At 53.5% G+C, this 26,188-nt stretch overlaps 1 protein-coding gene and 2 long non-coding RNA genes across 14 annotated transcripts in view, besides 11 other annotated features; 2 read left to right on the forward strand and 1 right to left on the reverse strand.

Annotated features, from left to right (window-relative positions):
• Positions 1-26,188, forward strand: part of LRP5 (LDL receptor related protein 5) — a 150,864-nt gene that overhangs the window by 14,097 nt on the left and 110,579 nt on the right. For 3 of the 10 annotated variants that reach the window (XM_005273994.3, NM_002335.4, NM_001291902.2), the window contains exon 1: positions 83-297. The exons of the other annotated variants lie outside the window; for them this stretch is intronic. In XM_005273994.3, the coding sequence (XP_005274051.1) occupies positions 207-297 (91 nt within the window). In that variant the 5' untranslated portion in view covers positions 83-206. Of the gene's footprint in view, positions 1-82; positions 298-26,188 lie in introns of those variants that run through there. 10 annotated transcript variants of the gene reach the window in all.
• Positions 18-217: a silencer, noted in NCBI's record as "silent region_3668". NCBI's record gives its function as "represses an Ori minimal core promoter by ATAC-STARR-seq in GM12878 lymphoblastoid cells {active_cell/tissue: GM12878}" and the evidence as "EXISTENCE:reporter gene assay evidence [ECO:0000049][PMID:35858748]".
• Positions 18-944: a biological region, named in NCBI's record as "H3K27ac-H3K4me1 hESC enhancer GRCh37_chr11:68080045-68080920".
• Positions 69-944: an enhancer, noted in NCBI's record as "H3K27ac-H3K4me1 hESC enhancer chr11:68080045-68080920 (GRCh37/hg19 assembly coordinates)". NCBI's record gives its function as "activates a minimal SCP1, AML or CMV promoter by ChIP-STARR-seq in primed H9 embryonic stem cells {active_cell/tissue: H9 hESC(primed)}" and the evidence as "EXISTENCE:reporter gene assay evidence [ECO:0000049][PMID:30033119]".
• Positions 408-567: a silencer, noted in NCBI's record as "silent region_3669". NCBI's record gives its function as "represses an Ori minimal core promoter by ATAC-STARR-seq in GM12878 lymphoblastoid cells {active_cell/tissue: GM12878}" and the evidence as "EXISTENCE:reporter gene assay evidence [ECO:0000049][PMID:35858748]".
• Positions 578-647: a silencer, noted in NCBI's record as "silent region_3670". NCBI's record gives its function as "represses an Ori minimal core promoter by ATAC-STARR-seq in GM12878 lymphoblastoid cells {active_cell/tissue: GM12878}" and the evidence as "EXISTENCE:reporter gene assay evidence [ECO:0000049][PMID:35858748]".
• Positions 941-15,799, forward strand: LOC124900302 (uncharacterized). The gene is made up of 2 exons (XR_007062749.1): positions 941-13,587; positions 14,051-15,799. It is a non-coding gene; the product is annotated as an uncharacterized LOC124900302 (long non-coding RNA).
• Positions 945-1,819: an enhancer, noted in NCBI's record as "H3K4me1 hESC enhancer chr11:68080921-68081795 (GRCh37/hg19 assembly coordinates)". NCBI's record gives its function as "activates a minimal SCP1, AML or CMV promoter by ChIP-STARR-seq in primed H9 embryonic stem cells {active_cell/tissue: H9 hESC(primed)}" and the evidence as "EXISTENCE:reporter gene assay evidence [ECO:0000049][PMID:30033119]".
• Positions 2,531-3,030: an enhancer, noted in NCBI's record as "H3K4me1 hESC enhancer chr11:68082507-68083006 (GRCh37/hg19 assembly coordinates)". NCBI's record gives its function as "activates a minimal SCP1, AML or CMV promoter by ChIP-STARR-seq in primed H9 embryonic stem cells {active_cell/tissue: H9 hESC(primed)}" and the evidence as "EXISTENCE:reporter gene assay evidence [ECO:0000049][PMID:30033119]".
• Positions 4,099-4,766: an enhancer, noted in NCBI's record as "H3K4me1 hESC enhancer chr11:68084075-68084742 (GRCh37/hg19 assembly coordinates)". NCBI's record gives its function as "activates a minimal SCP1, AML or CMV promoter by ChIP-STARR-seq in naive and primed H9 embryonic stem cells {active_cell/tissue: H9 hESC(naive and primed)}" and the evidence as "EXISTENCE:reporter gene assay evidence [ECO:0000049][PMID:30033119]".
• Positions 15,847-16,424: an enhancer, noted in NCBI's record as "H3K27ac-H3K4me1 hESC enhancer chr11:68095823-68096400 (GRCh37/hg19 assembly coordinates)". NCBI's record gives its function as "activates a minimal SCP1, AML or CMV promoter by ChIP-STARR-seq in naive and primed H9 embryonic stem cells {active_cell/tissue: H9 hESC(naive and primed)}" and the evidence as "EXISTENCE:reporter gene assay evidence [ECO:0000049][PMID:30033119]".
• Positions 15,848-25,697, reverse strand: LOC124902698 (uncharacterized). 3 transcript variants are annotated; one of them, XR_007062746.1, is made up of 4 exons: positions 25,554-25,697; positions 23,529-23,662; positions 23,311-23,429; positions 20,197-20,427 (listed from the first exon to the last, which is right to left on the reverse strand). It is a non-coding gene; the product is annotated as an uncharacterized LOC124902698 (long non-coding RNA). The 3 variants fall into 3 exon arrangements; XR_007062748.1 differs by lacking the exons at positions 20,197-20,427; positions 23,311-23,429 and adding an exon at positions 15,848-15,954; XR_007062747.1 differs by lacking the exon at positions 23,311-23,429.
• Positions 15,873-16,167: an enhancer, noted in NCBI's record as "tiled region #8382; HepG2 Activating DNase unmatched - State 1:Tss". NCBI's record gives its function as "activates a minimal TATA promoter and a strong SV40 promoter by Sharpr-MPRA in HepG2 cells {active_cell/tissue: HepG2}" and the evidence as "EXISTENCE:reporter gene assay evidence [ECO:0000049][PMID:27701403]".
• Positions 19,883-20,458: an enhancer, noted in NCBI's record as "H3K4me1 hESC enhancer chr11:68099859-68100434 (GRCh37/hg19 assembly coordinates)". NCBI's record gives its function as "activates a minimal SCP1, AML or CMV promoter by ChIP-STARR-seq in primed H9 embryonic stem cells {active_cell/tissue: H9 hESC(primed)}" and the evidence as "EXISTENCE:reporter gene assay evidence [ECO:0000049][PMID:30033119]".

The following is a 26,188-nucleotide window of genomic DNA, read 5'->3' on the forward strand; positions in this document are numbered from 1 at the left end:
GTGCGGGGGGCGCGGGTGGCGGCGGCGGGGGGCGGAGACGCGGCGCGGCTTCCGCTCCCGCGCGCCCAGCTCCCTCCTCCCCGTCGTCCTGGTCCGCGGCGCCCGAGGGGGGAGGCGGAGGCGCCGGGAGCCGCGCGAGGAGCCGCCGCCGCCGCGCCATGGAGCCCGAGTGAGCGCGGCGCGGGCCCGTCCGGCCGCCGGACAACATGGAGGCAGCGCCGCCCGGGCCGCCGTGGCCGCTGCTGCTGCTGCTGCTGCTGCTGCTGGCGCTGTGCGGCTGCCCGGCCCCCGCCGCGGGTAGGTGGGCGCAGGCCGGCCGGGGGCCGCGGGTTGCTCGGACAATGGCCCGGGCGGCCCCGCGGCCAAGTGCGCGGGCGCCGCCGCCGTCTCGGAAGCGACTTGGCGAGTTGGGAGCGAGTTGGGGCGCGCGCCCGGGATCCCCCTGCCGTCCCCGGCGTCCCCGCCACGCGCGGGCCCTTTGTCTCCCCACCCGGGCCCTCCCCGGGGACGCTGCGTCCCGGGCTGGCGAGGAGGGCGCCCGCTCCGCCAGGTGCGGCGCGGGCGGGTCCTCACCTGCCCGAGCCCGCGGGAAGCCGGGAGCCGAGCCGAGCCCGCGCTGGGCCCGTGTGGCCCGGGCCGGGCACCGAGCGGGGACTTGGGGCGCGGAGGCGGGCCTGGCCCGGGGAGCCGGTTCGCAAGCCTGTTTCCAGCGGCCGCGCGGCCGCCCCGCGTGCTCCGAGGACGGGCTGAAGTTGCAGCGAGAAAGTTCTGAGCCCGGGCGCGGGGCGGCCTGGCCGGTGGCGCTGCTCCTGTGAGCCGCGTGGCTGTGGGTTTCCAAGCGGACTGACACCTGCCAGGTGCCCGGGCGACCCGAATGCCCCGTGTGGCCGCCGGGTCCCCAGATAGTGTCCATCCCCGGGTCGGCTACGCGGAGGTGACGTGGTCCCAGATCGCGGGGCAGTGGGGGAGGCAGGCTTGTGCCTCAGTTGTACACTCCCGTGGGGAGAGGTAGGGCGGGGGAACTTTCTCTCCAACTTTTGGTGTTTCCCAGGGGGTGGAGTTGAGGTCAGGAGGACTCAGGAAACTTAAGCAGTCGTGAAACGCTACACATGTTCTTTTAATTTGGAGATTGCCATGTGGTTTTTCAAGCAAGCCTCTTGCTACCTAAATCATTCTCTTCGGATGTGCGTGTTTTGTTTTTCTGGAGTATGGCTGGCCAAGTGGCACGGCCGCAAGTGCCTGTGCACGCCGCGGCTCCTGTTCTGTTTGTGGCAGTTTAGCGGGGAGGACCTCGGGCCCCTTTGTCTGGGCCTCCTTAAGGCAAACAGCTGTCTCCCTGAATATTTCCAGTGTGAATGGTGCAGCGGGGTGGCCCTGTAGTCAGATCCCCCAGGCTGCAGCCTCTGCTTGGAGGTGTGGGGGACAGCGGGGAACAGGAGGAGCTTGGAGTTTGTTTCACGTCCTCCTGCCTCTGACCCAAGCCTAGAGATTCTATGGACAGTTTCACCCCAAATCTGCCTCTTTCAGGAGCGTGTTTACATTGTGGGGCCTTGTCTGGAGCTAGCAAAACAAGGTGAAGACAAAACAGCGACAGTATCTGGGGAGTACAGGCCAGCGCCGCTCCTTTTTCCGGAAATGCCTGGGTCAAGGAGGCAAAAGGGGTTTTGGGGAAACTGTTTGTTTTAAAGGGGGGGTTTCTAGGCCGACCGCGTTGCCTTTCACCTCATTGCAGTTTTGGGTTTTGTGCACGTTTTGGGGTGATGTTGCTGGAGTCAAATGCCTGTCGTCCATGTGGTTCGAGCCCCTGAGGAGAAAGAATTATAGCTGTAGAGTTCAGTTGTGTGTGAGGCAAAAATAGAGTTGATTATTTTAACATTAGGCAGCAAGGCCTGGGAGCCCCAGTGAATGTGGTGATCCAGGCCTAAAATGGAAGGAAAGGGAGGAATCTTTCTGCAGAACGGTTTTGATGTTATATCCCTGGTTTTACTGTGTGAAATACATGCCTCGGACCTCAGCGAAGCCAGTAAGTGGGCCGCTAATTATTTTTCCTGATTGCTTCCTGTTGCAATTGGAAGCTGTGAACGCACGGAAATGGCTTTGTTCTAGTGGTCCCAGTGCTGAGAACTTCCCCAGCTCCCAAGCCCTAGTCCTCTCTCCTCGGGGCCCAAGTGCTTGTTCCAGGGCCGGCCTGTCCAGGCACCCCCTCTCCCCCTGGAGGTTCCTCCTGTAGATGCCCAAGGCCAAGGCCGGGCCCTCTGGGAGAGCCCAGAAGGGCTGAGTGGGGTTAACCAAGTGCTGTGTGGAGCACCCTGAGAGAGTCCCCTCCAAAGCAGGGCCCCGTGTGTTTAGCTCCCCTCTTCAGTTCCAAGAAATTCGCCGGTGAACCCGATCCAGCATTTGTTCAGCACTTTCCTGGGGAGATTCACCTCGTGCTTCCTGTCGTTTTTGGAACCCGTTTAATTTCAGCCGTGCTGTGTCACTGCTCAGGCATTTAGTAGAACTCACACACACGGGTGGGGGATGTAGGCAGGTGAGGCCTCTGAGTTGCTTTCTCCCTTGCAGCGACGGGTTGCAGGGCTGATGGGGGTGGAGGGGTTTGGGGTCAGACCCACCTGGGTTTACATGCTCAGTGGCTGTTTGACTTCGGGCACCATACCTAGTTTCTGTTATCTCACCCCGTTCCTCTCCCAGGCTATGGGGAGCCCTAACTGCCCTGTGTGAGACCTTTAGCCCCATCCCTGGCAGAGCTGCAGTGAGCGCAGTTGTGTGTCAGCGTCCTCGATCTTTCTGGCCCCAGCCGGTCTAGAGGCTGTTATTACAATAGTCTGGATTTTTCCTGTATGACCTTGGACATCCAGTCCACTGACAAACTCACTCACTCACCGCTGCAGCCCTCGGGGGCAGGAGTAGTTAGTTAGCACTGTGGACAGAGCCCCTGCGCCCAGGGTCTGATTCCAGCCTGGCCGCTTCCTGTGCTGGGAGGCTTAGGAAGCTGATGCTACCTTTGTGTGCCTCAGTTTTCTCACCTGTAAAATGGGAATAGAATCCTTCCTACCATGAATTCAGTGAGTTAACGTGCACCTGGCCCGGTATAATGCTGTTGCTGTTTTGCTTTGGTGTCTGCTACCGAGTGAAGTGCTAGGGTTGAGTGCGATAGAATGGCAGATAAGGCCCCGCCCCTGCGGGCAGAGCTTCCCATGTAGAGGGGAGGACAGGGAAAGAAGCTTTGCAGCTATGCAGAGGTGGGCCCACGGGTGCTCCTTCACCCTCGGGGTGTCCTGCGAGAGGCCCTTAGAGGCCAGATCATGCTGTGGAGTCTGGTTGTGATCCACAAGGCAGCGGAAGCTTCTGGAAGGCTTTAGGCAGGAGTTACAGGAAATGCAAGCTAAAGCCAGATCTTTCCTAGGTGAAAGGTGTCGAGTTGTTTTTTTTTTAAATTGAGGTGAAACTTATATAATATAAAATATTAAAGTATAGAAGGCAGGCATTTGGTACATTCACAGTGTTTACAACCCTCTCTTCTATCAAGTTATAAGAGATTTCCATCACCCCAAAATAAAACCCATACCCATTACACGGTGACTTCCCGTTCCCTCTCCCCGGATCCCCTGGTGAACACCAGTCGACTTTCTGCCTCTGTGGTTCTGCCTGTTCTGGGCATTTTGCATGAAGGGAATCTTACAATGCGTCTTCGTGGCTGACTTCCTTGGTTACTGTAACGTTTTCAGGAGTCATCCAAGTAGTACCACGTATGGGTGTTTCAGCCTTTTATTTTTTTTTTGAAATGGAGTCTTGCTCTGTTGCCCAGGTTGGAGTGCGGTGGTGCGATCTTGGCTCACTGCAACTTCTGCCTCCTGGGTTTAAGTGATTCTCCTGCCTCAGGCTCCCAAGTAGCTTGCATTACAGGTGCCCGCCACCACGCCCAGCTAATTTTTGTATTTTTAGTAGAGACGGGATTTCACCATGTTGGCCAGGCTGGTCTTGAACTCCTGACCTCAAGTGAGCTGCCGGCCTCGGCCTCCCAAAGTGCTGGGATTACAGGTGTGAGCCATCACGCCCGGCCTATTTCAGCCCTTTTTGTGGCTGAATAATATTCCATTGTGTGGAGGGACCACATTATATTTGTCAGTTCATCCGCTGATTGGATTGATCTTGGTTGGTTGCATCTCCCAGCCGGCACGAGCAGGTCTCATGCCTCCTGCATCCTGGTGGAGGTGGCTGGTGGGAGGATCTGGCCTGAGACTCTCCTGCCGAGGTTCAGGAACGAGCCAGGTGATGGGGACAAGTTGGGGAGTCAGTGCTGGCATCTCAGAGGAGGGGCCTGGGCCCTGAGAGGAGTGCTGGGAGGGCAGAGTGAGGGCCAAGTTCAGGTTACAGAAGCCGTGAGACAGCCGGACATCTGTGGTTTGTGAGGCTTTGGAAACACTTAATGCGCTCTCCAAATGGGGAGTCTGTTGGGGAGGCCCTGGCGGGAGCCGGGGCTACATCCAGGTCCTCGGCTTGGTGGCCTTGTTCACTTATTTGTTCAGGAAGCAGCAGGGTGTGGGCTCTGTGCCAGGCCGCCCTGGAGGGCTGTCCTGGGGCCAGTGAGGTCCAAGTGTGATGGGCGGAGGCAGCTGTGGCTTGCTACGAGCCGGCCTCAGGGACCCACCGGCTGGCTCCGGCTGCTCTCTGCATTCTCTTCAGCTCTGGAGAGCCGTGTGCCAGCCCTCAGCCTCAGTTTCCTCATCTGCAAAATCGGGACGATGGTGTCCACCTTGCCCATGCTGGTGGGGTCCCAAGAGCTGGTGTCTGGGGTGAGGGAGCTGGGGGCCAAAAGCTCCTGCCCTGGGGCATCCAGCTGTCCTTTGAAGAGTACCCCGAGGGTGTGACTGAGAGCCAGTCCCCAGCACCCTTGTCCAGATGGGGACCAGGAGGTGGGTGAAGATATTTGGGGTCTGAGCTCTGTGCTGGTTGCCCCCGAGGGGGCCTGGAGCCCTGAGTTAGGAGCAGAACGGGGTGCTGGTCCTATCCGTTCCCTACCTGGGTAGTGGGGGCTGCCTTCCTGGGTTGGGGGTGGGGGGAGCTCCCTGTGTCCCTAAGCCATGCAGAGGCATGCGCATACGCGCTGCTCTTAGGCATGTGGGTGGCGCTCTGAGGTCCCTGCCCATTCCCCAGCCCCATGTGGTGGTCCCTGTGCTCCAGGTCCAGCCTCTGGTTTCCAGTTTGTCCTAGTTTGTCACCTTGTAGGGGGCAGTTGACACTTTGCTGGCCTGACTCGTGGTGTGCCAGAGCCCGTGGCTGCTGGGCGACTGTGCCTCTTTCTCTCAGTGGCAAGAGCCTTATTTTCTAATAGAGCCTGATGGGCCAGAGGTTCCGCCACAGGGACACTGTTCTCTGTCTCTCGTGCTTGGGGTCTCTTGCTGTGGACCCCCTGGGAGGTTGTCCTGGGGGTGCGGGGATTGTGTTTTCTGGGTATTTTCTTATTTGCTCTATTGGAGTGTATTTAATTTAATATATATATTTTAAACATCTTTTAGTTTGCCTTAATGTAATTTTTTTTGAGATTTAATTTTTTTTTTTTTGAGATGGAGTCTTGCTCTGTCGCCCAGGCTGGAGTGCAGCGGTGTGATCTCAGCTCACTGCAAGCTCCACCTCCCAGGGTCACGCCTTTCTCCTGCCTCAGCCTCCTGAGTAGCTGGAACTACAGGCACCCGCCACCACGCCCGGCTAATTTTTTGCATTTTTAGTAGAGACGGGGTTTCACCGTGTTAGCCAGGATGGTCTCCATCTCCTGATCCTCCCGCTCGGCTTCCCAAGGTGCTGGGATTACAGGCGTGAGCCACCACACCCGGCCTGCTTTTTTTTTTTTTTTTGAGTCTTGCTCTGTTGCTGAGGCTGGAGTGCAGTGATTCAGTCACCGCTTACTGCAGCCTCTACCTCCTGGGCTGAAGCAATCCTCTCACCTCAGCCCGCAAGTAGTTGGGACCTCAGGTGTGCACCACCACGCCCAGCTGATTTTGTTGTTTTTTGTAGAGACAGGGTTTCACTATGTTGCCCAGGCTGGTCTTGAACTCCTGGGCTCAAGCGATCCACCCACCTCAGCCTCCCAAAGTGCTGGGATTACAGACATGAGCCACTGCGCTGGGCCTTAATGTAGTTTTTCTTGTGGTTAAACTGAGGTGAAGGTTCACTCAAGGAGGAAAGTGGTTTTTAGCCTTTTGAGGGGCTCAAGGACCCCTTCAAGGATATGACAACGGCTCCTCTCCTGAGAAGGTGCCTGGTGGGGGCGGCACAGGCTCCACTCCACCCCATTGCAAGAATCCAGGGCCCTGCAGGGCTCAGAGCCCTCTCCCTGCCTCCCTGTGGGGCATTGAGAGGCACTCACCTTCTGAGGGCCTCAGTTTCCTTTTTTTGTAAAATAGAACCAGCTGATTCCAATCTCTATGGTCTCTTCTAGCACGGAGCTTCACGTTTTTTCTCCCTTCAGGATCCTGAGGCCTCTGGATCGCTAGAGATTGGGGGTGCCCCCAGAAGAGGCGCTGCTTCTGTGCCCTCCCTCACCCCACCGTGCCTGGCTCCTTGTTTTTTTTTTTTTTTTTTTTTTTGAGACAGGAGTCTCACTCACGCCCAGGATGGAGTGCGGTGGCACGATCTCGGCTCACTGTAACTTCTGCCACCCTGGTTCAAGCGATTCTTGTGCCTCAGTAGCTGGGACTACAGGCATCTGCCACCATGCCCAGCTAATTTTTGTATTTTTAGTAGAGACAGGGTTTTGCCACGTTGGCCAGGCTGGTCTCGAACTCCTGACCTCAAGTGATCTGCCTGCCTCGGCCTCCCAAAGTGCTGGGATTACAGGCGTGAGCCACCATGCCCAGCCTGCCTGGCTGATTTTTTAAAATTTGTCGTTGAGATGGGTGTCTTGCTTTGCTGCCCAGGCTGGCCTTGAACTCCTGGGATCAAGCGATCCTCCCACCTCAGCCTCCCAAAGTGTTGGGATTACAGGCATGAGCCGCTGTGCCCAGCCTATTTTATTATTATTATTATTTAATTTTATTTTTTCTCACTATTGCCCAGCTCCTGGCCTCCAACTCCTGGGCTCAAAGGATCTTCCTGCCTCAGCCTCCTGAGTAGCTGGGACTGCAGGCATGTGCCATCACACCCTACTTTGTACTTTTGCTTTTCTGTCTTTGCTCTTGTTAAAAGCCAAGTGCCATTTCATAGTACACAGGTGCACTTGACAGCATTTACCTGATTGAGGAGTTTTTCCAGCCTTCATTGCTATTACAAAGCATGCTTGCTCGTGTGTCTCTGCATGTGTATAAGTGTTTTTATAGGATACATTCCTAGTCAAAGAGTGTGTCCATTTCTGTTTTTAAAGATATTGAGGCCGGGCACAGTGGCTCATCCAGGTAATCCCAGCACTTTGGGAGGTTGAGGCAGGAGGATCACTTGAGTCCAGGAGTTCGAGACCAGCCTGGGCAAAATTGGGAGACCCCCCATGTCTACAAAAAATTTAAAAAATTAGCTGAGTATGATTGCACACTCCTGTAGTCTCAGCTACTTGAAAGGCTGAGGTGGGAAAATCTATTGAGCTCAGGAGGTCAAGGCTGCAGTAAGCCATGATCACAGCACTGCAACAGATCTAGCCTGGGCAACAGAGCGAGACCCTGTCTCAAATACATACATACAAGCATACATACATACATAACTCCTAAAAGGCTGTAGCAGTTCATACCTGCAAGCATCTACGAGAACACACACTTTCCTATATCCTCTCTGATGCTGGCAATTACAAGATTTTGGTTTTTGGTGTTTTCTTTGGTCCAGTTTGGTTAAAAATTATAACACCTTTTGATTTGCACAACCCTCATTTCTGGTTTATTGGTATTTACTTTTCTGCAAATTGCCTACACTTATCCTTGGCCCATTTTTCTGTTGTCTTTTTCTTTTCTTTTTTCTTCTTCTTCTTTTTTTTTTTTTTTTGAGACAGAGTCTCGCTGTGTCCTCCAGGCTGGAGTGCAGTGGCGCGATTGCCATCTTGGTTCACTGCAACCTCTGCCTCCCGGGTTCCAGCTGTTCTCCTGGCTCAGCCTCCCAAGTAGCTGGGACTACAGGCATGCGCCACCACGCCTGGCTAATTTTTGTATTTTTGGTAGAGACAGGGTTTCACCATGTTGGCCAGGCTGGTCTCGAACTCCTGACCTCAAGTGACCTACCCATCTCCGCCTCCCAAAGTGCTGGGATTACAGACATAAGCCACGGTGCCAGCCTGTTTATCTTTTTCTTATAGATTTGTGGGAGGTCTTTATTTGGTATGGACTTTAATTCTTTGTTCTGTTTGTTTCAGGTTTCACTGCTGGTCTGTAGCTAGTCCTTCATCCTTGTTTCTGGTGGTACATTATCATAAAGATATTAAGAAGCTTCATATAATCATAACTCTACTTTTTCCCTATGGCTTTTTTCCTATCCCTTGTTACTCCATCTCCAGATTATAAATATATCCTCCATTATTTTCTTCCAGGACTGTTACTGTTTTATGTTTTACATTCAGACATTATTCTGTCTGGGTTTTTTTTTTTTTTTTTTTTTTGTATATGGTATGAGGTAGGGGTCTGGCCAGTGAATAGGGAGTTGTCCAACACCTTGGTGGGATGGTCCATCCTATCCATTCATTGTAAATGCTGCTCTTTTATGTGTAGTGTCCACAGACACCTGGGTCCTGATTCCAGACCCTTCACTGTGCTCCACTGCCTGTGAGTGTCTTTGTGTACCGGAATGCTGCTGTCTCCATCTCTGAAGCATCAGAACATATTTTAAGATCAGTTATGTAAATTCCCACCTCATTGTCCTTTTCAAAAGACGTATTGGCTCTGCTTGCACGTTTATGCTTTTGTGGTGAACTTCAGAGCCGTCCTATCAGGTTCCACCCTTTGATCTCTTGATCTGGGGACGGTAAATGGTGATATCCAGCAGGTGTCAGAGGGCTGGATTTTAAATGGCCTCCGATGAGCTGGCGGTCTCAGGCTGTGGAAGTGAATTCATCTGCTGGGTGCAGTGGAGCCGGCCTTGACATTTGTGGGTTTTGCTGACATTTGTGGAAGGCTCTGGAGGTGCCCTTTGTGCCGACTTGCCCGAGCCACTCCTGCTGCCCAACTCACTCCGGTGTCTGCTCAGGAAAGAAATTCTAATGCACACTAATTTTAGCATTAGCCCGATGGCAAATATAATTACTGAGTTAATTATCACTCCCCTCCCTAGTTAATCCCAGAGCAAAATGTGGGCACCTTTCATTTCTTCCTTGGGATGTACCCCTGTATTAGTTCAGATGGGGAGGCGGTACCTGCCTGGCAAAGCTCTCAGGAAATTGCTCAACGGGGCATTAATAGCTATCTGAGCGTGTGGCCTGGGCTGGAACACACCAGCCTGGGTGCTGGGTGTCTTCCAGGCTCTGGCCACCTTGGGTTCTGCCCCAGGAAGGAGCAGACTGTCTCCTCTAGGGGACCTGAAGCTTAACGTCCTCACTGTACGAGATAGTTTTGGAGCAAGATATGTTCTGGGGCTTGCTTCTGCGGGTAAAGGCCATTTCTCCAAACTTTCCCCCAGAGCGAACTTGCTTCCCAAAAGGAGTCTGGATCCGGGCGTGGCCGTGCTGCCCTGGCCGCCTCCTCACTTCAGCTGGAGCCTCCGAGCTGACGTCCATGCCTATTCCTCCTGAGCACTGTAGACACAGGCCCCAGCTCTGTCCCCTGCCCTCTCCTCCACTCAGACTCCCTGGGCTCTGAGGCTTTACCTACAGGCCCTGCGGTGCATATTCAGTGAAAGCCTAGATTCAGAGCCAATGACATCAGCTTTTACTTGGTCTCCTTGCTTTCTGGAACCTCCCCTTTGCCCATTTATCTTATGCTCTGGCCAGATTAATTTTTCTCCAAGTAGTTTTCATCACATCCTTCCCTTTCTCAGACAGTCGTGCCCATTCTCCAGCATCTGAAGTTGGAACTTTTTGGCCTGGCAGGCCGTGCCGCCCTGAGCAGACCTGCCCATCTTCTGCCCCTGGTGTGGGCACTTCTCTTGCCAGATCTGTCTGGAACCTTCCATGGTCCACCCAACCTGGGAGGGCCTTGAGGACAGGGGCTGTCTTCGTCTGCGCCCCTCTGCCTCTAGTGTGATGTCTGGTAGATGATCAGTAACTGTTCTGAGGCCAAGGCCTCATCTGTCCAGGGAGCAGATCTTACCCATCTTTTACCTCCTCTGGCTCGAATTCTGCTGGAGCATGAGCTCCCTCTAGCCTAGGTTGTAGAACACCTGTCTGGCTATGTGACAGCTTCTGGGCCAAGTGTGAGGACCCCCATGGTCCTGCAGTAAGAGCCCATATTTCTGGGGTGTGGGAAACCCAGTGTACCCCAAAGGGACTTGACTGTGAAGTCCCGGGTCCACGTGGTACCCACCAGCCTCCTAGGGCCCAGACTCCGTGAGATGCCACGGTGGGGGCTTGGGCATTTGCAGCCTTCACTTGGCATTCTTACCATTTTCAGGAAACTTTATATAAACATTTTTAATCATGCAAAAAAGGAATTATGGAATAATAAATGTTTATATTAAAAAGTCTTGGTGGTTTTGATTGATTTATTTATTTTTTGAGATGGAGTCTCGTTCTGTCTCCCAGGCTTGAGTGCAGTAGCACAGTCTTGGCTCACTGCAACCTCTGCCTCCTGGGTTCAAGCAGTTCTCCTGCCTCAGCTTCCTGAGTAGCTGGGATTACAGGCACCCGCCACCATGCCTGGGTAATTTTTGTATTTTTAGTGGAGATGGAGTTTCACCATGTTGGCTGGGCTGGTCTCGAACTTCTGACTCAGGTGATCCACTTGCCTCAGCCTCCCAGAGTGCTGGGATTACAGGCGTGAGCCACCAAGCCTGGCTTGGTGCTTTTTAAATTTATTTTGAGATAGAGTCTGACTCTGTTACCCAGGCTGGAGTGCAGTGGTGCCATCACAGCCTACTGCAGCCTCTACCTCCCCTGGGTTCATGTGGTTCTCCCGCCTCAGCCTCCTGAGTAGCTGGGACTACAGGCACACACCACCAGGCCCAGGTAATTTTTTAAAACACTTTTTTTGTAGAAATGGGGTCCCTCCATGTTGCCCAGGTTCATTTGGAACTCCTGGGCTTAAGTGATCCTCTTGCCTCAGCTTCCCAAAGTACTGGGATTATAGGCGTGAGCCACCGCGCCTGGCTACTTTGGTACTTTTGAGTTAAAACTATAGAGTAGGTGACTGAGTGATATTTTTAATGCGTTCTCAAGAATTTGAACACGAAGAGAGTGTCACCCTCCCAGGTTATGCCCCCGGGAGTTCATGCACTTGCCACCTGGTCGCTGCTCAGGGGGCCCAGGGAGTTTGCTGCAGTGCCGGAGGACTCCTGGGTCCCGGCTGTGCCTCCCCGCAGCCGCCTGCTCCCTTGGGACACTCATTCATTTGCTGTGGCCACTGCCACCCACAGTCCTTGCCTCGTAGACTCCACTGCAGCTCTGGTTACAAAGAGCGAGTGGTCAGGGACTCCTGACCTGCCATGCAGGGCCCCGTGGGCTTGTGGTGGCTTTGGTGCCGTCCGCTGCGTCTGCCTCTTAGAGCATGGAGTTCTCCTTCTCAGGAGGGCTGAGCTGCTGGAGCTCTAGTCCTGCCGCAGAGCAGCCCCCAAGTGCGGCGTTGCCTGTCCCTGTGGAGCAGGTGACTACCTGGCTGCGGGCGGAACAGCAGGCCATGGCTCTGGTAGTGGTCTGTGACAGCATATCACCCTGTGGGACAGATCCCCGGGACCTAGTGGGGTGGGATAGTGAGAGCTGCGTCCACAGGGGAGGCTCAGAGACTTGTGTGCCCAGTGTGGCCCTGTGTGCTGACCCAGCTGGGCTCTGCCCTGTGTGGCCCCCAGGGTGCCCGGCGTGTGCCCTGATGGCCTGGGGCAGAGCTCCAGAGAGCCATGGCTGGCCGAGGGCTCACGGATTCTCACCCGCCCCCAGTGCCTCAGGAGACACCTGGGCAGCGAACAGCTTGAGGTGTGCAGAGGATGGGTCACGATGGGAGGGAGGCACAAGGGGTGCTTTCCATCTCTTTGGCCACCAGTTTTAATTAAAAAAAAATTTCCATCTGTTTTGAAAGGTTTTATCCTCTTAAGGAAATGACGTTTATTAAGCAACAGCCCCTTCTGCTCATCGTCCAGCTGTGCCCACTGGCAGAGCAGAGGCTGGTGGGATTCCGCCTGCTCCACACCAGGAGGTGCCACTTGGCTTCCCAGTGTCGAAGGCCTTCTTGGACTCAGCACACCTTCACGGCCCCGTGGGCTGTGGGTCCCTGGGTTGGGCATGACTGACTTGGAGGGTGATGAGAGATCTCCAGGATCCAGGCAGGTCTGGCACGCCACTGGGTGCTAGGCGCTGGGCTCTGGGCGGCCTCCTTGCTGTGCTTTTCTCTGAGGGTTGAGGGAGCCCTGCTCAGAGACCACCAGGTGAGCTCTGGGGGTCCCTCTGGGCTCCTGTGCCCTGCACAGCCCGGTTCTGACCACAGACCTCCTCCATCAGGGTGGACTATAGCCCAGAGCGGGATACCACCACGCCCATCACCCCCCACCCCTGGAGCCCCTGACCAAGGCCCTTCTGGGTACTTAACCAGTGATCTGATCTCACCACAGTCAGGGATTAGGGCCTCTCCCGGAGGGCTGGGGTCCAATGGTATGATGTGTTTCAGGTGAGAAACAGGTTCAGGGATGTCCCCAGCCTCACTGGCTGTTGTTGGCAGAGCAGGATGAAAGGCAGACGGGAATGCAGAATTGGGATCTTGCCCTGACCCCTGTGATCCGTGAGGCCCTTGAGCTAGAGGGATGCACTCAGTCGAAGTGCCCGCCTCTTGCTTTGTGTTAGTGTGAAGAGGAGGGGTGGGCCCTGTTCTATTCTTGGCTGCCCACAGCACCTAAGGCCAGCTTGGTCACCAAGGCATGCTGGAAGGTCACCACAGGTGGCACAGGTGGCTTGGGGTGTGCTGGGCAGCAACCATTATGCAGCAGTGGCCTCCAAGCAGAAGCTGCTGTTTCGGACACCCGAGGTATTCCCAGCCTCCTTCCCCTACCCCGAGGTTTGCTGGAGTCACTGAGGGGGCAGTAGCGAGCTGCAGGTGCAGGGTCGGGGTCCTGGGGGTTGCGTGTATGCGCAGCCTCCAGAGAAGCCCATGCAGGCCCCCCTCACCCGTTCCTGCCTGACCTGCTGTTGTGTCCTGCTCCTAGCTCTGCGGTCTGGGACAAGCACGTTAACTGCTTCAGAGCTCAGTTTCCCCATCCGTGATAGGGAATGATCTTTATGCTCCCACAGGCTCGTCCTGAGGCTGCAGAGAGGCAGCGTTGAAAAGTACCTAGCTCAGGGCCTGGCTCAGTGACGGTTAGCTGTTAGGGTTACCATCGCATCGCAATTGTTACTCCATAGTGACGACCCCCCGGGGACTCTGGACTTGTTCAGCTCAGCTGAGAGGCTGCTTGGCCGAAACCATCTCAGCTCTGCATAGTGTGGCCTGGTGGCCTGTGGGTTGCGCTCATGACAACGTGGAGCCTATTCAGTCGGTACCGAGTGTGCGTCCTTGCCTAGCTGGCCTCGGCATTTATTTTGTAGCTGGAGCCCTGGTGGGATGGGGTCAGGTGGGCTCTAGGAGTCTGGGGGACAGGTGCAGGTACCTTCGGGTGCGCCTCCCCTGGGGGCCTCTGCTTTGTCAGAAGTATGGCAGGGGGCTGAGGGCTGACTATCTATTTGTAGGTGTCACCAGAGCAGTCCCCGCCTCTCCTTTTCAGAGGACATTGTTGAGGGGACCCTGCCATCTGCGTCTGGGCTGGCTGCTTCCTCTGTGGGGGGCTCCTCCCGGCTGACCAGCAGCCCTTTCTGGCCCCCTGCATCAGCGCCTCCCCACTCAGCTTCACTGCTGAAGGCAGGGCCAGCCTGGGCACCAGGTTCTTCCCCCTCTGCCCAAGGTCCCTGCCCACCCGTCTTCCCTCGCCCTGGCCGTGACGGTCAGTGCCTTTGCCCCGCTCTGACGACCAGGCCCTGTGCGCAGTTGGCGCTCCGTGGTTGCTGAGAGATGTGCTCTCCAGTCTGTGGGCCAGATGGGGCCTCTGAAGTGGAGGGGGCCCACCCTCTCTCCTGCAGCCTGCTGTGGCTCCCCATCGCCTCTGGGATGAGAGCAGACCCTGCGAAGCCTTGAGCTCCTGGCCCTCCAGCTGTGAGCCCAGGTGGGACCACCCAGTTACAAGAGCGTTAGGCCTGGCTGTGTAGGAGACGTGTGTCTCCACACCAGAGTCCTTGCGGCATATGGGAAGCCTTCATGGTCCTCATGGTGGGGAGGGGTCCCCGGGGAGGCATGGAGTCTCGCTCCTAGGTTGCTGTGTGGCTTCAGCGCTCTGTACCTCCATGCCCCTGTCCTGCAGATGTCAACACCCAGTTGAGGAGAACGTGGACTTTGCCCAGTGTTGTGCAGGGATGGTGGGGCCAGGCTGGAGCCCACGTGTCCTGCCTTCGCCCTGGCCAAGGTGGGGGTTATCTGCCCTGGCCAAGCTGTGCCGCCCGTCCCTGCCCGCCCCAGCAGGTGGGGGCCTGCGGTGGGATCCCACCCATGAGCAGTAGAGGCTTGTTGACTTACTGGCCTCCCAGGCTCCCCCTCCAAAGCCAAGTCCTCCAGGACGGTTCTTGCCCCTGAGAAGGGGCAGTGTGGGTGCTGGGCTGCAGCGAGCCCCTCTTCGTTCCATTTCCTCACAGTCTCGGGGACGGAGGGCTTGTCCTGGAGCACAGGACCGGGATTGTGCTGAGGTCCTGGGAGGCCACGGTCATGAGGGGACCCAGTGAAGGCCAGGAGGGGACAAGCATCCCTCCAGGTATGGGGAGGGTCACCCCAGCGCCTCTGCGGATCTGACCCACTGGCTGCGGCTCCTGTGCTTGACCCTTTTGGCAAAGATATGCAGTGGTCTTTCAGTTGCCCCCCCTTAGGCAGCATGAAAACAATTTAACTCTTGCAGAAAGAACCTGGGAATTGATCTCCCCTGTCACTGATCCCACAAGTGTGACTTTGCATTGGTTTCTTGGTCCCCTTGTGCCCAGTCTCCCCATCTGTAAAATGGGGTGACAGTAGTTCCACCTCCTATGAGGACTGAGTGAAGTCAGGAACCAGAAGCAGCTCCCACATGAGACTCAGAAAGTGTGACAGGCGTGGAGGGTAGGGACCCATGAAGCTAGGCCCGGCACCTTAGGAAGAAGAGGGAGCTTTCCTGCAGGTTTCCCCCGGACGGAATGTGTTTCGTCCTGTGCACCTGCCTGCAGAGCCCCTCGCACGCTGTCAGTCCACAATGAATGCTTGGTGGAAGAGTTCACCCAGGGCCTGCAACACCATAGTGCTCAGCTTCTCCAAATTCTTCTTAACTTCCAGACTCGACACGTAAACTTGATTCCAAGGAAATCAAAGCTGATCGTCAACACTGGACTTTGCAGGCAGCTCCCAAACCCACATGCATATTTACAACTAAGAAATGCCAGTTCCTCAAAGAATGTTAGCCTCTGAGATGCATCAGGAGACCAGGAGGCAAGGGGTTAAAGGCAAACCGTGGCATTCCCCAAATCTGTCCAGTTCCCTGGCATGGTACAGTGTCGCGGAGCCCGAGGTGGCATCTTTTGTTTGGCTGCTGATGGCGGCCTTCGGGCCTTGGCATCCACGTTGCTGCAATTTTCCAGGAACAGTAGATCATTTGAAAGTAGAGCTGCCACGTTTTGCTCAATAAAGGGATTTTGTAGAGCGATGATAAATTTGGCATGTCTTTATTATTATTATTTTTTCAACACTTAAAGAAAATAAAAGCTGGTACAAAGGTATGTTTGTTTCTGAAATGTGTTTCCTTCCCCAGATGTTCTTTTCTGCCAGTTCTAAAATGCGTTCTGAGCTCGGTCCTCCAGTTTCCTCCCTGTGAGGAAGAACAATGAGACCTTTGTAACCACACAGGGGAAACGGCCGCTTCCCTCTGCAGTGGGCATGGGGGAGGGGCTGGGACGTCCCACCTCCTCCCACCTCGATGGAAACCACGAGTCTGTGCCAGCCCAGCCGACTGTCGGGGGGTTTGGCAGCCTCCTTTCCCATGGTGGTAATTTGCAGGGTCATGGCTCAGGGGCACCGCAGTCTGCACCTCCGTCCCTGGATCCGTGCGTTTGCTGTGTGGCCTCGCAGTAAATGCTTCCATCTGCGTGGCATTTATGGACCCTGGGGCTTGGTACTGTCTGTGTTATCTGGAGTCGAACTTGCCCTTTTCCTTTTCTGTCTGCCTTTCTTGCATCAAATGCTGGTCCCCACCCAAAGGGTAGCCCAGTCTGCAGGACACGGCGCAGAGGTAGAGTTGGTGGCTTCACGAGGGTCCAGTGGGGCACAGACCTTCCTCGGCTGCTCTGTCGCTTTGTGACTTGAGACTGCGTGGGTGGGGTACCTGAGGGATCCGTGAGCCCGCCCTTCCCACACGTGTGCATGCACACACACATGTGCACAGTGCTTCAGAAGTACCACCTTAGTTGGATTTGAAGGACAGCCAAGAGACCTGTATAAAGCTTGTAGTTAGAGTCGTTTCGATACTGGCCTGAATTAAGAGCAGTCTCCATGGGGTTGCTGTCTGTGGGGTACGTGTTTAATGAAAATCCTTGTTTTTAAATAAATGTATCCTGCTTTAGAACACCCAAGATATAAAATCTAGACTTCATAGACAAAAATAGCTAACATTTGTTGTGTATCACAGTGTGCCAGGTGGGCTCTAAGAGATGTTTGATTTCTTTAATCCTTCCAGCTGCCCTGTGGGCTGGGGGCCATCCCTACCCTCATTTTACAGACGAAGAAACTGAGGCTGGGAGAGGTCAATTAACTTGCTCAAATTTGGTATAGGCAAAACTAGGAATTGGCAGACGGTGGTTCCAGTGCCTGCCTTTTAATTGGTACTTGAATTATACGAGTGTTTTCTTCCATCAATAAAAGAAATCGGCGAACAGCCTCCCATGGGTTTCAGTAAGTGCAAGCCCTCCTTGTCATCCCAGACCTCAGCCTGCCCATTTAATGGATGAAGACACTGAGGCCTGGAGGGAACAGTGACTTCGGAGCCACTCTCCTGGACTCTGCCACTCCTCTCGCCTCCCATATGAACCTGAGTGGCCACATGACCCTGGGGGAGAGCTACTCAACTGTCCCAAGGAGAGGGTGATGACTGCTGGCCTCCCACCGGCCATCAGCGCCCCACTGACTGACACCCCTGAGTCAGTCTCCACCCTGGAACTGTTTCTCTCACTATTTGCCATGGCCTTGGGCCGCTTCCGGGGGCTTGGCAAGGCAGGAGGCGTGGAACCAAGATGGTATGTAATCAGAATGCTATATTTTGTTGAAAATAAGAATGTTAGTAATGGGCTGGTTTCTGGCAGGTCAAACTGGGACTCTGAAATACATATTTTTCTCTGCTCTGCCCTAAACCTTCTAATTAGTGAAAACGCACATTTGCAGACATCAATCAAATGTCATATTCCCTAGCAGCTTGTCCTGGGATCACTGAGCTGGTCACATTCCACAGTTGCTAACTCAGGGCTTGCAGAGTATGTGTGCACGTGTGTGTGCATGCGTGTGTTTGTGAGAGAGATACATGCCTTCTGGGGAGCCCTGGTGGCCTGTTTCCTTCCCTCCCAGGCCCCTGAGCTTCTGCTCCCCACCCCGCCCCCAGCCCCTTGTCAGCACATGCGCGGCCACTGCAATGAGATACAGACGTTCGCCCAATTAAAACACAGTTAGTGGAGGACACATGGCTTTCAGGGAAAACTGCTTTCTCTCAGGAAGATCTCTGCTGTGCAGTATTCCATAGCTAGACCCCAGCTCCACTCAACAGTGGACTCCATTAATAGCCTGGGTTTTGGAAGAGGCGATTTGCTTCTGGTAACTGGCTCCGGTGCATGGATGTTCCCTCCTCTTGCTGGAATCTCTGCCCGACCCAGACAGTGCTTGTGAACCAGCCCTGGTGGGCTCCATGGGGTTCTGGGTCTGGGAGGCAAGGACTTGCCTGGGGTCATTCTCATTCTGCACGGCACTAGCCATGCTGGCTGCATGAAGCCGTATCACAGAGACCTGTGGGTCCTTTACATCTGATCATCCTGTCATTTGTATCTGTATCTGGGGTGGTTAGTTGCAAACAATTCCACAGTAGCCAAATCAAGAAAGTCACTGGCTCTCGCAGGAGCGCGATTGGTGTGGGGCGAGCCTGGGGGTGTAGCCCAGGCAAGCCCTTCACCCTGATGCGCATTAGCCTTCTTATCCAGGAAATGGGGGGAGGCGGTCTGGGCCCAGGGAGGGGAGCATGCCAAGCTGGGGATCTCCACCGGTCCAGGATTCAGGGCGCCTCTGACCGTTCTCTGCCCAGTGCCTCCTGTTCAGTTTTACTTTTGTGTTTTCCATTTCACTTCTGCCTCTAGGCCAGTGTTTTTCAAAATATGTTTCCTGAGTGGAAATGAAAAAATGTTCTGTGATCAGGCGCAGTTGGGAAATCCTAGGGGAGAGAAAGTGAACTAGGCTTCCTCACCGCAGGACTTCTCAGAGCCTTTAAAATGGTAATTATGCTCCAGGCCTTGTGCCCCTCTACCTAGGCATCCTTTACTGGTTGGGAAGAGACGGCAGGTTACGGGTGAGTCCGGGTAAGTGGAGTTGTGCCTAAGCTGATAACCTGACGTCACCAACACTGTTCTGTCACCTTGCTTTGGTGTGGCTTCTTCACAGTTGTCACATCTGGGCCGTTTGGAGTGACCTAGCAAGTCCTTTGCTTGTCTCCCAGGACTTTCCGGAGTAGCCAAGCAGAGCCTTCGGCCAGTTCCCTTGTGGGGCCAGGCCCTGCCCGGGAGCACAGGCAGGAGAACAGCTGCCTCCCCGCCTGCCCCAGGGCCTTGGTGTCAGGGCCATAGCCCCCAGCTCTGCGGTGGAGCAGCAGGGACCTGCCTGGCCCATCTCCCTGTTGAGGGAAGACCCGGAGGCGCCTGTCCTGTTCTGTGTGCTCCGAGGTGTCTGAAACCAGCTACCTCATTTTCTTTTTATCTTTTGCAAGTGATTTCTTATTTCCTGCTCCACCCCCAAACGTGCCCCCTGTATGTTTCCTGTTCGCCTGCTTCCCTGACCTTTGAAATGTGGTCCCTGCTCGGGAAACTTGCCTGGACCTCAGTCAATTATGGTTTTCCTCTGGGCTGTGTGTGTGTGTGTGTGTGTGTGTGTGTGTTTGAGTGTGCAAGTGTGTGCATTAGGATTAGAGAGAATTCGATGGGGGGCCAGGGGCCAACAGGAATGGGGGTGGCTGAGCTGAGAGGCCAAGGGCAGGTTCCAGGTTGCATTGAGAGCCGAAGCTGGTGAGTGTGAGGCGGGCAGATGTGAGGTGTGTGTGGGGAGTGGGGTGCTGTCTGGGTGACTGGGCTGGGAGAGGGCAGGTGGGGGCCAAGCTGGAAGAGGTGGTGTTATTCTGTAGCACCTGATGTACACAGACCTTGGGGGTGCAGCTCCAGGCTTTCTCTCTCCCCACCCGCCCCTGAAGGCCCCACTCTCCCGCCTTCTGCAGCCAGCCTTCCTTTTGTCTGCCCCTGAGCTCCTCCGCTCTTGTGGTCGTTAAGAAAAGCTTTTTATAATCCAAGTTGGTTTGGGAAGAGGCAAACTGTCCTTTCCCAACAGTCATATGCCAACCCTGGCCACATCTATTCTGGATTTGAAGCAAAATATGGTATTTATTCATTATTGTCATGCAAATGTCAGCAGCTCGCTCATTCTTGATGGAGACAGCACCTGGAATGGGAGGGATGGGTCCACGGCCAGCATTGGAGGTGCTCGGCCCCAGCACCCGGGCCTTGCTCTGCAGGCAGCCCTGCTCTGCACCGGGCCCTGCTCTGCACCAGGTTCCACTGGGTGGCATCAGCCATGCCTGCCCTGAGGAGGTGAAGTGCGGGCTCTCTCCAGTGAAGGTGCAGAGGCAGGGTGAGCTGGCGGGCTTACGGAGGACGTGGGCTTCACCTGGGTCCAGGAGGCCAGGTCACATTCAGCCAAGTATTCATCAGCTGGGTGTAGAGACCAGGGAGGGTTTTTAGGGGTGGGAATGGCTGGAGGCATGGAGGTGGTCAGGGTGGAGTCTACGGGAGACTTGGTCTACTCTGGTGCGGTGGGATTCATGTAGAGAGAGCCCTTGTGGGCTGAGGCCAGGCTGTGGGGTAGATGGGAGAGACCTCCTGGCTTAGCAGGTCCTTGGGTGGATGGATGGACGGATGGAGGGATGTTGGGGGAATTGGTGGGATATAGATGGTTCAGCCAAGGTGGAAATGGGGGAGTAGAGCTATTCCTGGGGTGCTTGAAGATGTCAGCAAGTATCCCACTCCAGCTTGAGTTTGCAGAGCTTTCTCTAAAAGGCAGAACATGTGCTTGGTTAAAGGAAACCCAAGATTTTATTATTGTTGTAAATGTCAAGTCCCTCATTTTGAATCTTTAGACAACTGCAGAATTGTGTCACTGACTTGGGTAAAAGCCCAAGGAAAAACATGAAATTATGTTGCCAAAATTGCGGTCATCGTAGCTGCATGAGGGTTTGAGTGGCCACCGCCACCCCAGTAGGAGAGACGCGTAGATGTTGAATACACTGTGAGCTGCGTGCAGGTAATTGAAACGTGGATGTGGGGAAGGTCCCTGGCTTCATGGAACTGTCTACATAAAAGCGAGCCTGGGTGTTTCCTGTTTCTTCTACCTTAAGAAATTTCCACGAGAAGCTAAGGTATGGTTTTGCCAAGAATGTTGTTAATGGCCCAGCAATGAATATTTTCAGCCACTTGTAGACACCTGAACTTCATTCTTGGCAAACAGGTGTATGATTCTTGGACTTGGAGAGACTGAACTTTGCTGTGCTCAGAATGGAGGAGACCAGCTCACTTGTACTTTGATTTCTCCCTGGTCCCTGTCATTTTAGCCTGATCAGTGCTTTTTCAAGCATTTCCCCTTGAAGGGGAGATAGGACTTTCTGGCTCAGGGATGGGGAGGCTTCCAGGCAGCCTTAAACATTGTCCCTGCCCCACCCTAAGTATCTTTGAAGTTTCATGTTTTATCATAAAGTCTGTGAGAATGTTGCAGACTCCGTTATAGTCATGCTAGTTTTATTTTTTTAAATGTGGTTTGAATTTTATATAAAGTATATGGATTATATCTGAGAACTAATATGCAAGGCCTGTATGCAAAACATAATACAACTTTACAGAAGGACATTGGAGAGGACTGCAGTAGATGTTCACGGATAGGAAGACAGGAGATGGAGATGGCAGTTGCCCCCAGATTGATCAGTGGATTCAGTGCAGGGGCCGGCAGTGCGCTCTCCTCCCTGTTCTTTCCTCCCACCCCATTGCACAAATGTTGGTGCCTGGCATTTAAAGAAGCAGACCAGGCGCGGTGGCTCACACCTGTAATCCCAGCACTTTGAGAGGCCAAGGTGGATCACTTGAGGTCAGGAGTTCGAGACCAGCCTGGCCAACATGGTGAAACCCCATCTCTACTAAAAATACAAAAATTAGCTGGGCGTGGTGGTGGGCACCTGTAATCCCAGCTATTTGAGAAGCTGAGGCAGGAGAATCACTTGAACCCAGGAGGCGGACGTTGCAGTGAGCCTGGATCGTGCCACTGCACTCCAGCCTGGGCAACAGAGTAAGACTCCATCTCAAACAAATAAATAAGAAATAAAGAAGCAGCATGTCGAGGGTGGTGCTATGTAGAGGTGTCGGGGGTGATTGGCATCCAGCATCCGGAAGCAAGGTGGGGTAGGGTGCAGAGGTGACTGACAGCAGAGGCTACTGGAGCAGATGGGAAGCTGGTTATGGAGCTAATAAGTAAATTGATTGAGCAAATAAGTAAACATATGGATAGTAACACAAGCCAGGCTTTGCACTTTGGAGAAGGTGCTTACAAACTTGGACGAGACAGTACCCAGACACATAGCTGAAACTGTAGGTACTGCCACACACACATGCACAGAAATAGAGAAATAGTCATAGATGCATGTGTGTATAAAAGTGTATGTAGGCTAGGCACGGCAGCTCATGCCTGTAATTCCAGCACTTTGGGAGGCTGAGGTGGGTGGATCACTTGAGGTTAGGAGTTTGAGACCAGCGTGGCCAATGTGGCGAAACTCCGTCTCTACTAAAAATACAGAAATTAGCCGGTTGTGGGGGCACACCTGTAATCCCAGCTACTTGGGAGGCTGAGAATCACTTGAACCTGGGAGGCGGAGGTTGCAGTGAGTCGAGATCACGCCATTTTACTCCAGCCTGGGTGACAGAGTGAGACTCTGTCTCAAAAAATAAAATAAAATAAAATAAAAGTGTGAGTATACATACACACGTACAGTTGGTTCTTGTTATTCTTGAAAGTTATGCTCCATAAAGTCACTGGGAACCCTGAATTATTGAATACTGAACCATTGCTCCTAGGGGAAACATCGGGCTAGGTTCCTGTGAGCCTCAGGTCACAACGTTTTTGCCAACTGTTCGATACCTGACCTGGCTTTTTTTTTTTTTTTTTTTAAGACAGCGTCTTGCTGTGTCACCCCAGGCTGGAATGCAGTGGTACAATCATGGGTCACTGCAGCCTTGACCTCCTGGGCTCAGGCCATTTTCCTGCCTCAGCCTCTCCAGTAGCTGGGACTATAGGCATGCACCACCACACCTGTCTGATTTAAAAAAATATACAGATGAGGTCTTGCCATGTTGCCCAGGCTAGTCTCAAACTTCTGGCCTCAAGTGAACCTCCCACCTTGGCCTCCCAAAGTGTTGGGATTACAGGCATGAGCCACCGCACTCAGCCCATAACCTTGTCTTATGTGTGTTTCTAAGACACCTTATTTAGGCTGAGTGCAGTAGCTCACGCCTGTAATCCCAACAGTTTGGGAGGCTGAGGTGGGAGGATCACTTGAGCCCAGGAGGTTGAGGCGGCAGTGAGCCAAGGTCACACCACTGGACTCTAAAGCCTGGGTGACAGAGTGAGACCCTGTCTCTAAAAAGCACCTTATTTACTGTATATTGTTGATTCATTAACATTGAATTCATGGCCAACTACGCTATAACTCATACCTGAATAAAGCCTCTCATGCATATTCTCTCTGTAAGGCGTGGGGCAGCCTCATGCACCTAGGAGCACTACACAGCAGCATATGTGCAGGGGACATTTTATACAGCAAAATTGCCCACAAAAAGCACAGTGATGTGGAAAGCATGGCACTAGCTAGACCGAGAGAAGGACACTTGCTTACATCTCGACAGCCGGAGCAAGAAGATGGGGCGTTGTGGCCTCAGTTGACCTCAGTTTGGAACGTGTGATGGTGACTCAGTTTTTTCACACTCTGCAAGTCAGTGAGTGATTGCAGAAGTGCTGTGAGGTTTAATTTGGGGGATATAAATAAATGTTAGCAAGTAGGCGAGCTCAAGTACGGAATCTGGGAAGAGGGAAGACTGTACGTGTATATCCTACCTCCATCAGCAGAGAGGCCTAGAAGCAATGACCCCAAGTAGCAGTGAGCACACCAGAGCCCAGGTCTGGGTTTCTGAATACCATTCTCCACCCAAAGGAGTCAGAGCTTGTCCACGAAGAAGCTGGTTCTAGGGCTGGGGCAAGGAAAGGTACAAGCCGAGCATGGGGCATCTTATTGTGTAAGAAAGCAAAGAAGTTCTGGAGGACTGGTGGGGACCTCTGGGACAGAAGAGCCAGCTTAGAGGGGTGCTCACTGTCCAAATCTAGGAATATTTGAACGTCAAAATGTTGTGTACATGCCTTAGCGACCAACCCACATTTAAAACAAATTCCTGAATGAGGGCTGTAACTGTAGTCCCAAGTCATTCTTTTTTGTAGCTCATAATAGCCCATAATATTACTATACCATATGTTTGCATTTACCTATTTTTATTTTATTTTATTTTTTTGAGACAGAGTTTTGCTTTTGTCACCCAGGCTGGAGTGCAATGGTACAATCTCAGCTCATGGCAACCTCTGCCTCCCGGTTTCAAGCTATTTTCCTGCCTCAGCCTCCTGAGAAGCTGGGATTACAGGCATGCACCACCACATCTGGCTAATTTTTGTATTTTTAATAGAGACAGAGTTTCACCGTGTTGGCGAGACTGGTCTCGAACCCCTGACCTCAGGTGATCTGCCTGCCTTGGCCTCCCAAAGTGCTGAGATTACAGTCGTGAGCCACCGTGCCCGGCCTGCATTTACCTGTTTTTAATTGTGGTAAAATACATATAACACTTATCGTCGTAACCATTTGTAAGCGTGAAGTTCAGTGGCATTAAGAACATTCATGTTGCTGGTAACCACTGCCACCATCCATCTCCCACCACAATTTAATAAATCATTGAAAACAGACTTTCTTGACCACAAACAATGGTGCAGCAGAAGCATCATAGATCTCTGTCTGTCCTGCTGGCTGAGCTGTGGCATCCTTCCTTTTTTATATTGTAAAAACTGTAAATAAAATGCCATAAAAACGCCAGCGTTGATCTTTGTGGAACTTGCGGAGCTGACTGTAGAATGTGTTGGGGGTATAACAGGACCAGGGCAGCCCAGGTGTTTCTGAAGGAGACGAATCGGGAGGGACTCGCTCCGCCAGGCATCAGGGCAGATTGCAAAGCCTTGTTTTTGCACATCATGCCGATGCGGGGTGGACAGTTAGACCAAGAGGAGCCCGGAAGCAGACCCAGGCTTTGGCATCAGGAGCTTTGGCATCTGGCAGAACTCCTGTCCCTGGGGTTGGGGTGTGAGGAGGTGTGCAGGGTAGTAGCGTGAATAACTGCTTTGAGGAGCTGAAGCTAGAAGGTGCCCAGAGCTGTGTTAGGTGTCAGAGAAGTTGTTTGTGAGGCATTGTGAGTAGAATTAAGTAACTTGAGTGCGTAATTGCCTCTGGGGATCAGGCCTGGGCATGCTCAACATTCACCAAGTCATGTTTGTTTTTCAATGCTCCAGCTCTTCCTCCTCCAGGAAGCCTGCCCAGTCTACCCACAGCCAGGTCTACCCACAGTCAGCCCTTCCTCTTCTTAGAAGCCTGCCCACTCTAACCGCAGCCAGATCTTCCTCTGTCTAGGAAGCCTGCCTGGTTCACCCACAGCCGTGTCTTCTTCCTCTAGGAAGCCTGCCTGGTCCACCCATAGTCAGGTCTACCTCCTCCAAGAAGCCTGCCTGATCCACCCACAGCCAGATCTTCCTCCTCCAAGAAGCCTGCCTGGTCCACCAACAGCCAGGTGTACCCATAGTCAGCTCTTCCTCCTCTCGGAAACCTGCCAACTCCACCCACAGCCAGATCTTCCCCATCTAGAAAGCCTGCCTACCCCACCTACAGCCAGGTCTTCTTCCTCCAGGAAGCCTGCCTGGGCCACCTGCAGTCAGCTTATCCATCCCCAGGCTCCAGGCATTACCTGTCCATGCATTCATCCCACCTTTTCTTCTTGGGTGGTTTTGTGTGTGCGTGTGTGTGTGTATGTGTGTATATCCTGCCCAACTAACCTGCAGGCTCCTTGACTCTGGAGCCCTGATGTCTTCTGTTTCTCTGTCTCTTCCATCATGCTGGCACTGGACGCAGGATCATTCCTGACTGATTAATCTCTAGCTTGTGTCCAGGCTGCAGCTTGCTCCGATGAGCAGTTGGAGGCCTAGTGTAATGCTTGGTGAATATATATAAGGCATGGACTGAAAATGTTGCTTATTTTGGTATAGTAGCAAAGGATTGGGTTACCTTGAATTGAGTCTTGTTTGGTGTAACCATGTAAATAAACAGTGTAAAATATAGGCTATTGGAATGGAAGCCCAGACATCTGTTATGAATTCTATATATAAATATTGGATATGCTTACATGGGTTAAAATGAGATTGTTGGCACTTGGGTTTTCAAACTCCTGATTCTGCTCCGGGTAGGACTGATCACGGGTCCTGGGACTCAAGGCAGGAGGGGCCACGAGCTGGCCTTTCTCTGACACTGACTTGCCAGAAGTGGGCGTTCCTGGGAGTGGCAGACATGCACCCACTAGAGATAGATCTGAATCACCCCCTCACATTCTCCTAATAGTGCCAAGAACCCACAGCAGAGTGCGGGGTGTACTGAGTTTGTGCTGAGCAGGGGTGCCTGAATCCCGGATTGAAGA

The sequence above is a fragment of the Homo sapiens genome, chromosome 11, assembly GCF_000001405.40.
Source record: "Homo sapiens chromosome 11, GRCh38.p14 Primary Assembly".
Taxonomy (NCBI): Eukaryota; Metazoa; Chordata; class Mammalia; order Primates; family Hominidae; genus Homo; species Homo sapiens.